Source organism: Homo sapiens, chromosome 16 (genome assembly GCF_000001405.40).
Source record: "Homo sapiens chromosome 16, GRCh38.p14 Primary Assembly".
Classification (NCBI taxonomy): Eukaryota; Metazoa; Chordata; class Mammalia; order Primates; family Hominidae; genus Homo; species Homo sapiens.
Window position 1 is genome coordinate 11,881,162 of NC_000016.10, and position 14,380 is coordinate 11,895,541.

Below are 14,380 nucleotides of genomic sequence, written 5' to 3' on the forward strand. Positions count from 1 at the left end.
TGCTGGGATTACAGGCATGGCCCACCCACCAGCTGCCTCTATGTCTTTTAAACTATTCTAGCTCTGTTCCACTGAGATTCAGGAGGACTAAACTGAAGTGAGTTTTTGAGGCTTGCTCAACTCTAGGACATTCTATACCTGCCTAGTGATTAGTATCAAGTGATAGCTTCCACAGAGAACAGCTACTTTCTCTATACTAGTTACTAAGGCCCCTCACTTGCAAATATGTCTGGGCACTAACTTCACTTATGTTTAGAGAATCATACTTTTTTCTATTCTGGTAAAATATAAGTAATAACATTCAACTTTTAAACCATTTTAGTTTGCAATTCAGTGCCATCTAGTGTATTCACCATGTTGTACAATCAATACCACTATCTAATTCTAAAACTTCATTGTCCCAAAAAGGAAATCCTACACCCGTTAAGCAGTCACTCCTTACTTTCCCTCCTTCAGCCCCTTGCAACCACCAAGCTGCCTTACACTTCCATAGCTTTTTTTTTTTTTTTTTTAGTAAAGGTCTCGTTCTGTTGCCCAGCCTGGAGTGCAGTGGTGTGATCAGAGCTCATAAATCATAGCAACCTTGACTTCCTGGGCTCAAGCAATCCTCCTGCCTCAACCTCCCAAATAGCTACGACCACAGGCACGTATCACCACAAGTGGCTAATTTTATTTTTCACAGAGACAGGGTCTCCCTATGTTGCCCAGTGTGGTCTCCAACTCCTGGGCTCAAGCAATCGGTCCACCTCAAACTTCGAAAGTGCTAGGTGTTAGCCACCATGCCTGGCTCATCTCCATAATTTTTGGGACAACTCTACAGACAAAACTGAGTAAGTAAGGGCTGGGTGTGGTGGCTCAAGCCTGTAATCCCAGCACTTTGGGAGGCCCAGGCGGGCAAATCACGAGGTTAGGAGTTCGAGACCAGCCTGGCCAACAAGGTGAAACCCTGTCTCTACTAAAACCACAAAAATTAGCCAGATATGGTGATGCATGCCTGTAATCCCAGCTACCCGGGAGGCGGAGGTTGCAGTGAGCCAAGAATGTGCCACTGCACTCCAGCCTGGCGACAGGGTGAGACTCCATCTCAAAACAACAACAGCAGCAACAACTAACTAAGAACTCAACCTGAGAATTATTTTCACTCATATGTTAGCCTCCAAGTTGCAAAGATAATAGGAAAAAGTAGGCTTTAAAATGTAAACATTTTAGAAGATACTATATATTCTCATCTCCAATGCACAAGGCATCAAGAAACCAGATAATACAATTTGTAAGGTGCCAATTATGTCTAAATATTACATTTGATAATGGATTCTTTTTCTAATTTACTCTGCCTGGAGTTAGCATGGTAAATAAATTCTCACTGAAATCTAGCAAAATCTCCATCTGAAGGTACTGATGACTCAAGTCTGTGGTCCTGCATAAGCAACATCTTTGGAGCTGTTAGAGAAGCCCTGCCTCAGGTTATCTGCAAATCTCAGCAACTGAACAGTCAAAAATGACACAAAGGAGGCCAGGCATGATGGCTCACGCCCGTAATCCTAGCACTTTGGGAGGCCAAGATGGGAGGATTGTTTGAGGCCAGGAGTTAGAGACTAGTCTGGTCAACATAGTGAGACCCCATCTCAATTTTTATTTAAAAAAAAAAAAAATTAGCCAGGCAGAGTGGCACAAGCCTATAGTCCCAGCTACTTGGGAGGCTCAGGTGGCAGGATTGCTTGAAAGTTTGAGGCTGCAATAAGCTATGAATGCGCCACTGTACTCCTGCCTCGGTGACAGAAGAAGACCCTATCTCTTAAAGAAAAAGAAAAAAAATCAATAAATAGATAGGAAACAGCATAACCGATTCTTACCTTGTTTGGCATCATCACAAGCTGCTGGCCTTTACAAATAGATCCTGATTCCAGCTTTCCCAGGACCACAGTGCCCATATCCTGATCAAATGTAAAATAAAATCCAGTTTCAGACTTCTTGGTGCTGTATAACAGCTCAATAGCCCAAAGTGAAATTCTACACTGCTTATTCATAAAGGAAAATCATTTGCTTAAGTAGAAGGCTTAGGTTCATCTTAAACTCAGTAACAAATACTCTATAATAATTTGTGTCATAAGCATATGTATGATCATATTAATAATTCAGTATGCCTATAATTTAAAAAGAAAATGGCACAAGCTGGATGTGGTGGCTCAAGCCTATAATCCCAACACTTTGGGAGGTGGAGGTGGGTGGACCACCTGAGGTCAGGAGTTGGAGACCAGCCTGGCCAATATGGCGAAACCCCATCTCTACTAAAAATACAAAAAAAAAAAAAATTGCCAGGCACGGTGGAATGCCTGTAATCCCAGCTACTCCAGAGGCTGAAGCAGAAGAATCGCTTGAACTCAGGAGGCAGAGGTTACAGTGAGCCGAGACTGAACCACTCGACTCCAGCTTGGGTAAAAGAGCAAGACTCTGTCTCAAAAAAAAAAAAAGGCTGGGCTCAGTGGCTCACGCCTGTAATCCCAGCACTTTGGGAGGCCGAAGCGGGTGGATCACAAGATCAGGAAATCGAGCCCATCCTGGCCAACATGGTGAAACCCCGTCTTTACTAAAAATACAAAAATTAGCTGGGTGTGGTGGTACCTGCCTATAATCCCAGCTACTCGGAAGGCTGAGGCATGAGAATCGCTTGAACCCAGGAGGCGGAGGTTGCAGTGAGCCGAGATCATGCCACTGCACTCCAGCCTGGTGAAACAGCGAGACTCCATCTCAAAAAAAAAAAAAAAGGTGCAGAAAACAACACAGAAGTTTATGTTGGAAGATCTGAACTGTTTGTACAAATTCAGGTTCTCCTGATCTCTAGGCCTGTTTCCTCATATATAAAATTGGAAAAAGCAATACTTGTTAAAGAAATTTAGAACGGAGCTAATTAAAGAATAATGTATTTGAGGAGGGGAAAACATTACATACATTGATACCGCAAAACTTAAAAATTCAAGTTGGAAATCCAGTTAAAAACAAGGAAGTTTATTTTTTTTAAGACGAACATCCAGTGCTGGTGAGGCTGTGGTAAAACTAACACTCATGCTGCTAGTGGTGACAGAAGTTAGCACAGTATTTTTGCGATGCTATTTACCAATATGCATCAACTTTAATAAGAAAATCCTTTGAGCCCAGCAGTTACATCTATGAGTTTATCACTAAGATATGATCCCTGGCTCATCGGGAAACAGCTAAAATAAACTAAACTTGTTGAATAAATTATGGTCTATCTATACCACTAATATAAAGCCATTAAGAAAAAGACATCAATGTTATGTTGTTAATAAAGTTTTTGGACCGGGCATGGTGGCTCATGCCTGTAAGCCCAGCACTTTGGGAAGCCAAGGCGGGCGGATCACCTGAGGTTAGGAGTTCGAGACCAGCCTGGCCAACATGGTGAAAACCGGTCTCTACTAAAAATACAAAAAACAATTAGCTGGATGCGGTGGCACACGCCTGTAGTCCCAGCTACTCAGGAGGCTGAGGCTGGAGAATCTCTTGAACCTGGGAGGCAGAGGTTGCAGTGAGCTGACATCACACCACTGCACTCTAGCCTGGGTGACAGAGTGAGACTCCGTCTCAAAAAAAAAAAAAAAAAAGAAGGCCAGGTACGGTGGCTCACGCCTGTAATCCCAGCACCTTGGGGGAGGCCGAGGCAGGTGGATCACAAGGTCAGGAGATCGAGACCATCCTGGCTGACACAGTGAAACCCCGTCTCTACTAAAAATATAAAAAATTAGCTGGGCGTGGTGGCGGGAGCCTGTAGTCCTAGCTACTCAGGAGGCTGAGGCAGGAGAATCACTTGAACCAAGGAGGCAGAGCTTGCAGTGAGCTGAGATCGCGCCACTGCACTCCAGCCTGGGGGACAGAGTGCAAGATTCTGTCAAAAAAAAAACAAGAAAGAAAAGAAAAGAAAAAAAGTTTTCAAAACTAGAAACAAAATGCACAACAATGATTTCCCCTCCCAGGAAACCCAATTTCTTTAACATTTTGGGTACCTTGTACTTATCCACAATTGGCAGCCTGATTGGTCCATCAACTGATCTATTGAAGTTCGGCAAATTATCCAGATATGGAATAAACGGTAATCCACTGAGAACATAACAACAAAGCCATTAAAGGAAGTCAACATAAATATCAAAATGTTAAGTTACATGACTATAAACAGCTTCTAATAATATTTTCATTCTACTCATGTATTCTTCCCATTCAACCACTTTATTATCCATTTCATCTCACTTATTCCACAGAAAACTATTATAAAACTGCTCAGTATAAGGCTTCCTCATAAACTTATTAAAATTTAGAGAAATATTTTATAGCAAATAGCCTACATGTAATAAATTGACTATATTACTTTTTATGGACTTTTCCAGCTATGAAACCAAGATTCTATAAAATAATTTCCCCTTTAAACATACAGTATTGGCTGCGTGCAGTGGCTCATGCCTATAATCCCAGCACTTTGGGAGGCCGAAAGGCAGGTGCATCTCTTGAGCCCAGGAGTTCGACACCAGCCTGGGCAACATGGTGAATCTGTCTCTACTAAAAATACAAAAATCAGCCGGGTGCGGTGGCATGTGCCTACAGTCCCTACGACTTGGGAGGCTGAGGTGGGAGGATCTCTTGAGCTGGGAGGCAGAGGTTGCAGTGAGCCGAGATCATGCCACTGCACTCCAGCCTGGTTAACAGAGTGAAAACCTGTTTCAAAAAAACAAACCAAAAAAAAGAAACACGGAGTTCAAGAATAAACTCGTATTTATGGTCATTTGATTTTCAAAGAGGGAGCCAAATCAATTCAATGAAAAAAGAATAGTCTTTTCAACAAATTGTGTGTAAACAATTAATATACAAAAACAAAACAAACCTACACATAGACCTTACATCTTACACAAAAGTTAACTCAAAATCAAATACATATCTAAATGTAAAAAACTTCAAAAATAAAACCTTTTGTGCTTCAAAGGACACCATCGAGAAGTGAAAAAAGGCAATCCATAAAGTGGGAGAAAATACTTGCTATAATCATATTGTAGCTGATAAGGGACTGGTAGCCAGTATTAAAAAGAACTCTTAGGACTCAGTAACAAAATGACAACCCAGTTTAAAAATGGGCAAAGATCTTAGTATTTTTAAAGCCAAGGTTACATTTAATATTTTCTTAAATTACTTATAAAGATATATGCTCAAAAGCATATGTTAACATGTTACTCAGCATATGTCTTTATAAGTAATTTAAGTAATAACATCCTTTTCCTTTTTAAAAAAAGGAAAAAACAGTTACTTACATGTACCAAGGACAGAAATCCGACTGCTCTTTGAGATTTGCTCCAGTAAGTCCTGAGCAGGGCATAAAGTGAATGTCCTTTTTGGGATTGAAGCCAACTTTTTTCAAAAATGGCACTAGTTTCTCCTTACATTCTTCATATCTGCAATTATAATGTAACCAAAATAACTCAATTATAATGTAAACCAAGAACTCTAGTTTCCTAAGTAAACAGATTAAGGTTTAGAAAAACCCTAGAGAAAAAGTCGTACAATAACAAAACCATCCTTAATCCCACTAACATAAAATACCAGACATCTACGCTCACCTCTCATTGCTCCAATTTACTGTTGGATCATCCATCTTATTAATTAGCACAATTAGGTGTTTTACACCTGCTGTCTTTGCCAACATTGCATGTTCTCTTGTCTGTCCTCCTTTTTCAAATCCAGTTTCAAACTCTCCTTTCCTGGCTGAGATTACCTAATTCCAAGAAAGGAAACAGTTTACTCCTTCGCCTTCAGGCATACCCTTATGGCAGTAAAACATCTTTCCTTTCAGTTATATCACGAGTTTTTTTTTTTTTTTTTGCAAGAAAATAGAAGCAAACGAGTTATGACGTACCTGCTTTTGAATGTCACAAATCAAACAATGTCTAGATGCTTCCAATCCCCCACATTCCCAAAATCTAGTATACCTGCATATTTTAAAATTCCAACATTTACTTTCTAGCTATTGTAACTACAAAGGAAAAAAAATTGTGATCTACTACCAGTACATTGTGAAAAGCGCAAAATGACTGAAGACCGTATGAAACAGATGGTTTCCTATTCATTTTTTACCCATGGTGCCTAACGGTGGGCTTGGCATTTAATGGAGACTAAGTTCTGACATGGTAATAGATAATAGCAACAGGAGAGAAAAGGTGAAACGTATTTTCAGAAGTAAATCAAATTTTGAAGATTTCTTGAAGAGAGATTAGTATGATGAAAACTGTGACCGTGTACATCATTATATTTCACTGCAACCTGAATTTGAGCTTTTAGAAGATAAATTCAAATTTAAAGATATAAGCGGGGCTACTAACAAATATACAGATGGACTGGAAATGTCTTTCTTACCAGCACAGCCAAATCAGCTTGAGAGGCACCACCAATCATATTTGGGACAAAACTCTTGTGGCCAGGGGCATCTAGAATTGTGAAATGCTTCTTTTCGGTTTCAAAATAGGCACGACCCACTTCTACTGTTTTACCCTTGTCTCGTTCTTCCTGATTTGTGTCTAAGGCCCAAGACAAGTACCTGAAATAATTTTTAAAAAAAGAACAATATTCCTAAGAACATCAGAGTTTTTAGGATATTCTTCACCATTAAAGATATAATGGATGACACACAACACCTAAATCACGAACAAGATTGGTGAAATGAAAATTGAGCCGGGTGCGGTGGCTCACATCTGTAATCTGAGCACTTTGGGAGGCCAAGGCGGCGGATCACAAGGTCAGGGGTTCGACACCAGCCTGACCAACATGGTGAAGCCCTGTCTCTACCGAAAATACAAAAATTAGCTGGGTGTGGAGGAGCCCACCTGTAGTACTTAGGAGACTGAGGCAGGAGAATCGCTTGAACCTGGGAGGAGGAGGTTGCAGCGAGCCAAGACCGTGCCATTGCACTCCAGCCTGGGCGACAGAGCAAGGCTCCGTCTCAAAAGAAAACAAAGAAATTGAAAGAATAGGGCTGGGCGCAGTGGCTCACGCCTGTAATCCCAGCACTTTGGGAGGCCGAGGCTGGCAGATCACCTGAGGTCAGGAGTTCGAGACTAGCCTGGCTAATATGATGAAACCTCATCTCTACTAAAAATACAAAAGTTGGGCATAGTGGTGCACACCTGTAGTCACAGCTATTTCGAAAGCTGAGGCAGGACAATCGCTTGAAGCTGGGAGGTAGAGGTTGCAGTGAGCCAAGATCGTGCCATCGCACTCCAGGCTGGGCAACAGAGGGAGACTCTGTCTCTCAAAAAAAAAAAAAAAGGGCTAGGTGCAGTGGCTCATGCTTGTAATCCAAGCACTTTGGGAGGCCAAGGCAGGCGGATCACCTGAGGTCAAGAGATTGAGACCATCCTGGCCAACATGGTGAGACCCCATCTCTACTAAAAATACAAAAATTAGCTGGGCATGGTGGCGGGCGCCTGTAGTCCCAGCTACTCGGGAGGCTGAGGCAGGAGAATCGCTTGAACCCAGGAGGCGGAGGTTGCAGTGAGCTGAGATCGCGCCACTGCACTCCAGCCTGGTGACACAGTGAGACTCCGTCTCAAAAAAATAAATAAATAAAATAAAACTGAAAGAATGTATTATTTTGATTCAAACCCTTAGAGCTTTTATATAAACGCAGTCAATTATACCATCTAGAACTTTATGGCAAGTTGACTACACAGAAAGACTAACTACAAATGCCAATATCACTGTGTGTTAAGTGATAATGAGCTCCCTTATTACTTCATTTTTATACTCACATGGCACAAAATACAACACAAATAATGGCTGTCTTGAGAGTTAAAGGGTAATAATAAAACTTTTTTGGATGGATGCTGTGGCTCACGCCTGTAATTTCAGCATTCTAGGAGGCTGAGGCAGGCAGATCACAAGGTCAGGAGATTGAGACCATCGTAGCTAACACGGTGAAACCCTGTCTCTACTAAAAATACAAAAAATTAGCCAGGCGTGGTGGCGGGTGCCTGTAGTCCCAGCTACTTGGGAGGCTGAAGCAGGAGAATGGTGTGAACCCAGGAGGTGGAGCTTGCAGTGAGTGGAGATGGAGCCACTACACTCCAGCCTGGGCAACAGAGCCTAGGTCGTGCCCGGCACCCCCACCCCTCTTCTTCTTTTTTTTTTTTTTTTTTTTTTTTTTTGGAGATGGGAGTCTTGCTCTGGCCAGGTTGGAGTGCAGTGGCACCATCTCGGCTCACTGCAACCTCTGCTTCCCAGGTTCCAGCTATTCTCCTGCCTCAGCCTCCCAAGTAGCTGGGATTACAGGTGCCCACCACCACGCCCGGCTACTTTTTGTATATATATTTTTTGAGATGGAGTTTAGCTCTTGTTGCCCAGGCTGGAGTGCAGCAGCACCATCTCGGCTCACCGCAACCTCCGCCTCCCAGGTTCAAGTGATTCTCCTGCCTCAGCCCCCCGAGTAGCTGGGATTAGAGCATGCGCCACCATGCCCAGCTAATTTTGTATTTTTAGTAGAGACAGGGTTTCTCCATGTTGGTCAGGCTGGTCTCGAACTCCTGACCTCAGGTGATCCGCCTGCCTCGGCCTCCCAAAGCGCTGGGATTACAGGCGTGAGACACTGTGCCCGGCCATTTTTGTAGTTTTAGTAGAGACAGGGTTTCACCATATTGGCCAGGGTGGTCTCGAACTCCTGACCTCAGGTGTGATCTGCCTGCCTTGCCTCCCAAAGTGCTGAGATTACAGGCTTGAGTCACCGCGCCTGGCCCAATAAAAGTTGTTTTCCTTTTTTCTTTTTTTTTTTTTGACATGGTGTCTCACTCTGTTGCCCAGGCTGGAGTGCAGTGGTGCAATCTCGGCTCACTGCAACCTCCGCCTCCCGGGTTCACGCCATTCTCCTGCCTCAGCCTTCCAAGTAGCTGGGACTACAGGTGCCTGCCACCTTGCCCAGCTAATTTTTTGTATTTTTAGTAGAGACGGGGTTTCACCATGTTAGCCAGGATGGTCTCGATCTCCTGACCTCGTGATCCGCCCGTCTTGGCCTCCCAAAGTGCTGAGATTACAGGCTTAAGCCACTGTGCCAGGACTAAAACTTTTTAATAAAATAAAAAATAACTGTCCTCAGATATTTTTGAAAACTGAAAGCCACTAACGCACCATGTGGGAGCAATGGTTACTTGCTAAAAATTGCTTCAATATCACACTGCCAGGCAAAAATTCATATAAATTCAAACCATCCGTAATAGTGGGCATTAATTTAGCTTACCTCATCATCTTCACAGCATGTCCTCAATTTTTTATAACAACACTGACTAGCATTTCTCCCGCTTATTTTAGAGGAATATAATTTTATTTTAAAAAAATGACTGTCAATATCCCATTGAGGTAAGGCTTGCTAACTTTTTAAAAATAAAAGTAACAAGGTTAGAAAACAAAAAAGTTGACTGTCTCACCATTCAAAGGCAACCACTGTCAATAATTCCATTCCATTTTATTTCCAGCATTTATTTATATAATGGTCATATCTTAAGTACAGGGATGTTTCCTGCTTCCCCCCAACTGCCACCACAACGCAAGTTCTATTCATGGTTACTATAAATTATGTAAATGTAAGTTTTCAGTGGTTGCAAAATCACCCAATTAAATGGATGGTTTATAGTATTTTCAACAAGTCTATCACCAGATATATGGATTGTTTCCAAATTTCTCTGTGTAAGTTATTAAAGCATTAGGAACTCATCTACTGTGTATTATGAGGAGAGGGGAAATTTCCTTTGTTGTGATACGATTTTAGACTTCAACAATTTATATTTTAACAGGCTCCAAAAGCACTAAGTGGGCATCGTCTCCTTAAAAGTAATTTATAAGTGTCATAAAAGTTTACTATACCAAGTTTCTCTGTTTTTCTCTTTAGCTTCTCTTTCATACTTTTCAAGCGTCCTTTTGTCAACCATTCCAGTCAAATACCTGAAAACATTTAAAGAAAAAAAAAAGTAAACAATTACTCACAAATTACTCAGTGGAATTAGGAAAACGTGAAAATTGTCGAAAATTTCAACGTCAGAAAATAGTTATTTTATATGTGTGTGTCTGTCTAAAAAAATATAAAATATATATATAACATATATAACATATTTTTATATAAAATATATTACACATTTTTATATAAAATATATATATTACATATATATATATATTTTTTTTTTTGAGACAGAGTTTCGCTCTTGTCATCCACCTGGAGTGCAATGGCACAATCTCGGCTCACTGCAACCTCTGCCTCCTGGGTTCAAGTGATTCTCCTGCCTCAGCCTCCTGAGTAGCTGGGATTACAGGCACCCACCACCAAACCCGGCTAATTTTTGTACTTGTAGTAAAGATGGGGTTTCATTACGTTGGCCAGGCTGGTCTCGAACTCCTGACCTTGGGTGATCCACCTGCCGCAGCCTCCCAAAGTGCTGGGATTACAGGCGTGAGCCACCACGCCTGGCCATATTTTTTTTTTTTTTTTGAGACAGGGTCTCGCTCTGTCGCCTAGGGTGGAGTGCAGTGGCGTGATCTCAGCTCACTGCAACTTCCTCCTCCTGGGTTCAAGCGATTCTCCTGTCTCAGCCTCTCAAGTAGCTGGGATTACAGGCGTGTGCCACCATGCCTGGCTAAGTTTTTGTATTTTTAGTAGAGACTGGGTTTCACCATGGTCAGGCTGGTCTCGAACTCCTGACCTCAAGTGATCTGCCAGCCTCAGCCTCCCAAAGTGCTGGGAATACTGGCATGAGAACCACCACGCCTGGCCAGAAAATAGTTAAAGTAAAGGAACCACTGGTGGATGCTAAAATTATGGAAAGTGTAAGTGGAAAAAGGATATTTACAGTCTCGAATTAACAGACAAAGTGGCCTGGTGTGATGGCTCATGCCCGTAATCCCAGCACTTTGGGAGGCTGAGGTGGGAGGATCCCTTGAGGCCAGGAGTTTGAGACCAGCCAGTGCAACACAGTGAGACCATCTCCACATAAATATTAAAAAATTGGCCTGGTGTGGTGATGCATGCCTGTATTCCTAGCTACTTGGGAGGCTGAAGTGAGAGGATCACCTGAGCCCAGGAGTGTGAGGTTACAGTAAGCTATGATTCCACCACTGCACTCTAGCCTGTGTTTAAGAGCAAGACCCTGTCTCTAAAAAAAACAAAAAATCAGGCCAGGTGTGATGGCTCATGCCTGTAATCTCAGCACTTTGGGAAGCTGAGTTGGGAGGACTGCCTGAGTCCATGAGGTTGAGGCTGCAGTGAGCCATGATTACACAACTGCCCTCCAGCCTAAACAACAGGGAGACCCTTTCTCAAAAAAACAAAAAAAACAAAAAAAACAAAAAATAAAAAATGGCCGGGCACGGTGGCTCAGGCCTATAATCCCAGCACTTTGCGAGGCCAAAGCAGGCGGATCACAAGGTCAGGAGTTCAAGACCAGCCTGACCAACATGGTGAAACCTCATCTCTACTAAAAATACAAAAAAATTAGCCAGACGTGGTGGTGCATGCCTGTAATCCCAGCTACTTGGGAGGCTGAGGCAGGAGAATCATTTGAACCCAGGAGGCGGAGGTTGCAGTGAGCCAAGATCACACCACTGCACTGCACTCCAGCCTGGGCGATAGAGATTCTGTCTCAAAAAAAAAAAAAAAAAAAAAAAAAAGAAAAGAAAAGGGAAAACAATAACCTTATAGTGGACAATCTTGACAGATGACACCTTAACCAAGTAATCATGACTAATTTCACCAGTAATAAGGAAGTTTTGATGAATGACTATGGTTATAAGATGTCAACATCAGGGCAGGATGAATGAAGGGAACTTCCCGTACTGTTTTTGCAACCATTCCGTAAATCTAAAATTATTTCAGAATATAGTAGGTTTTGTTTTTTGTTTTTGTTTGTTTTTTTTAAGTAAATATAAGGTGGGCATGGTGGTGCAAGCGTGTAGTCCCAGCTACTTGGGAGGCTGAGGTAGGAGGATCAGTTGAGCACAGGAATTTGAAGCTATAGTGCGCTATCATCCTCCCCCCTATAAATAGCCACTACCCTCCGGCCTGGGCAACACAGCGAGACCCTGTCTCTTAAAATAAATATAGTTTTATTTTTATTTTTTATAGAAATGAGGGTCTCACTATATTGTCCTGGCTCTTCTTGAAGCCTGGGCTCAAATGATCCTTCCGCCTTGGCCTCCCAAAATGCTAGGATTACAGATATGAGCCACCATGCCCAGCCAAGTAAATTTAAAAATAAAATAACAAGTAAATGTAAATGTAGGTACTATAGAAAAGAAAAAAAAATTGCAACAATGTTGTCTAGGCAAGTAAGTCTTATTACTTGTCAAAATGAGATAATAATTTCAAAATAGTTCGTTAGTAATGCATACTTCCTTGACTCAATCCAATTCAAAGCTCTCCTTTCCCTATAGCTTTCATCTGTGTTCTCCACGTAGACATCTATAGTGCAGTGCACCTAAGCATTTGCATGTAGAAACCCAGTGTGACGCCACCAAAACTTACAGCCCATCAGCAAAAAATATACACTGTCCTGAAACATAACATCATATGGCTGTGACACTTCAACCACAGAGACCTGGGGAAGGACCCCTGTTTAACAGCCTGTCTTAGAGTCTCTGTTGTGGAAATGTTCAAAAGTAACTGGCAAGATTACCAATGATGATTAGCCAGGTGTGGTTAATCACACCTGTATGCCAGCACTTTGGGAGGCAGTAGAGGTGGGCAGACCACTTGACCCCAAGAGGTCAAGACCAGCCTGGGCAATATGATGAAACACCACCTCTACAAAAAAACACAAAAATTAGCCAGGCTTGGTTGCATGCACCTGTGATCCCACCTGCTTGGGAGGCTGAGGTGGAAGGATTGCTTGAGTCCAGGAGGTCGAGGCTGCAGTGAGCCAAAATCATGCCACTGCACTCCAGCCTTGGTGACAGAATGAGACCCTATCTCAAAAAAAAAAAAAAAAAAAAAAAAAAAAAAAAAAAAAAAATTTAACTAGGCAAGATGATGGCAAGCCCTCTAGGTCCTCTGATGACACAGTTCAAAGAAATGGGTCTAATTTAGAGAAGCAATTAAAAATTTAGGACTTTTTAGTTATCAAGATTTGTCAATACTAAAATGCATTACTAAAGGCCAGCCACGGTCATTTCATACCTAGGAAATTTCTATAATACGATCAAAAAATTATCTTAGCATTTTAGCTAGTCTACCTGTCTTTTATTAAATCCATATACATTTAAGGAGCTGATGAATGAGGAAAAAACAGTTCCCCCATTCACCAGATTCAAGAGCTGGTTGTCATTATTCCCATGTATGTTATATGCAAAGGAGACCAAGTTTCCCATAATCTAGAGTTCTGTGTTCATTTTTTATTTTTAAAAAATGTAAAAAGCTTTCAGAAACACATTTAACACTAGTAATAATCACATTACAAAAACTACTACTTTTAAAAAAATTAAAGTAGAGACAGAGTCTCATTGTCTTGCCCAGGCTGGTTTCAAACTCCAGACCTCAAGTCCAGTGATCCTCCCACCTTAGCCTCTCAAAATGCTGGGATTATAGGTGTGTTCCACCACACCAGGCCAAAAATCACTTCTTAACATCAGTATTGTGTCCCAGTAATTTTATTTTTAATTTTTCTTTGGGGGACCTGTTTTATCTCCTTTGTGTGACTGTATGAAGGTTTACAATGCCTAAAATTCATTACATCAATTTAACTCTGTTATTTAACAAAAGATACAGACTTACATTATTTGTCCTCCAATGGTTGACTTGCCAGCATCTAAAAGTAACATCAACATGCAAACCATAGGTTAAAACCAAAAACCAATGGCTAAATATGCAAACAACAGCACCCTTTAACATACATAATTAAATCTTCCATATGAATTTGGGGCATAAATCCTAGTTCATTACCCTTCTCCTTTTGAAAATGAGCCTCAAGGCTGGGCTCGGTGGCTCACGCCTGTAATTCCAGCACTTTGGGAGGCCAGCGAGGGCGGATGACCTCAGGTCAGGAGTTCGAGACCAGCCTGGCCAACATGGTGAAACCCCGTTTCTACTAAAAATACAAAAATTAGCTAGGCGTGGTGGCGGCCGCCTGTAATCCCAGCTACTTGGGAAGCTGAGGCAGGAGAATCGCGTGAACTCGGGAAGCAGAGGTTGCACTAAGCTGAAATCACGCCATTGCACTCCAGCCTGGGCGACAAGAGTGAAACTCCATCTCAAAAAAAAAAAAAAAAACCACTTAAAAACACTTTACTGATAAAGAATTTTTTAACAGATTACTCCGAAAGCACAGCGGCAACAGACTATAAATTCCCCAAGAGAAGTTTC

General features: G+C 41.8%; 1 protein-coding gene across 6 annotated transcripts in view; it reads right to left on the reverse strand.

Moving 5' to 3' along the window:
• GSPT1 (G1 to S phase transition 1) overlaps window positions 1-14,380 on the reverse strand; it is a 48,527-nt gene that overhangs the window by 13,034 nt on the left and 21,113 nt on the right. For all 6 annotated transcript variants that reach the window (NM_001130007.2, NM_001130006.2, NM_002094.4 and 3 more), the window contains exons 5-11: window positions 13,793-13,826; window positions 9,901-9,978; window positions 6,409-6,589; window positions 5,616-5,770; window positions 5,310-5,450; window positions 4,020-4,113; window positions 1,854-1,934 (exon numbers count right to left, since the gene is read on the reverse strand). In NM_001130007.2, coding sequence (NP_001123479.1) covers window positions 1,854-1,934; window positions 4,020-4,113; window positions 5,310-5,450; window positions 5,616-5,770; window positions 6,409-6,589; window positions 9,901-9,978; window positions 13,793-13,826 — 764 coding nt within the window. The remainder of the gene's footprint in view (window positions 1-1,853; window positions 1,935-4,019; window positions 4,114-5,309; window positions 5,451-5,615; window positions 5,771-6,408; window positions 6,590-9,900; window positions 9,979-13,792; window positions 13,827-14,380) is intronic.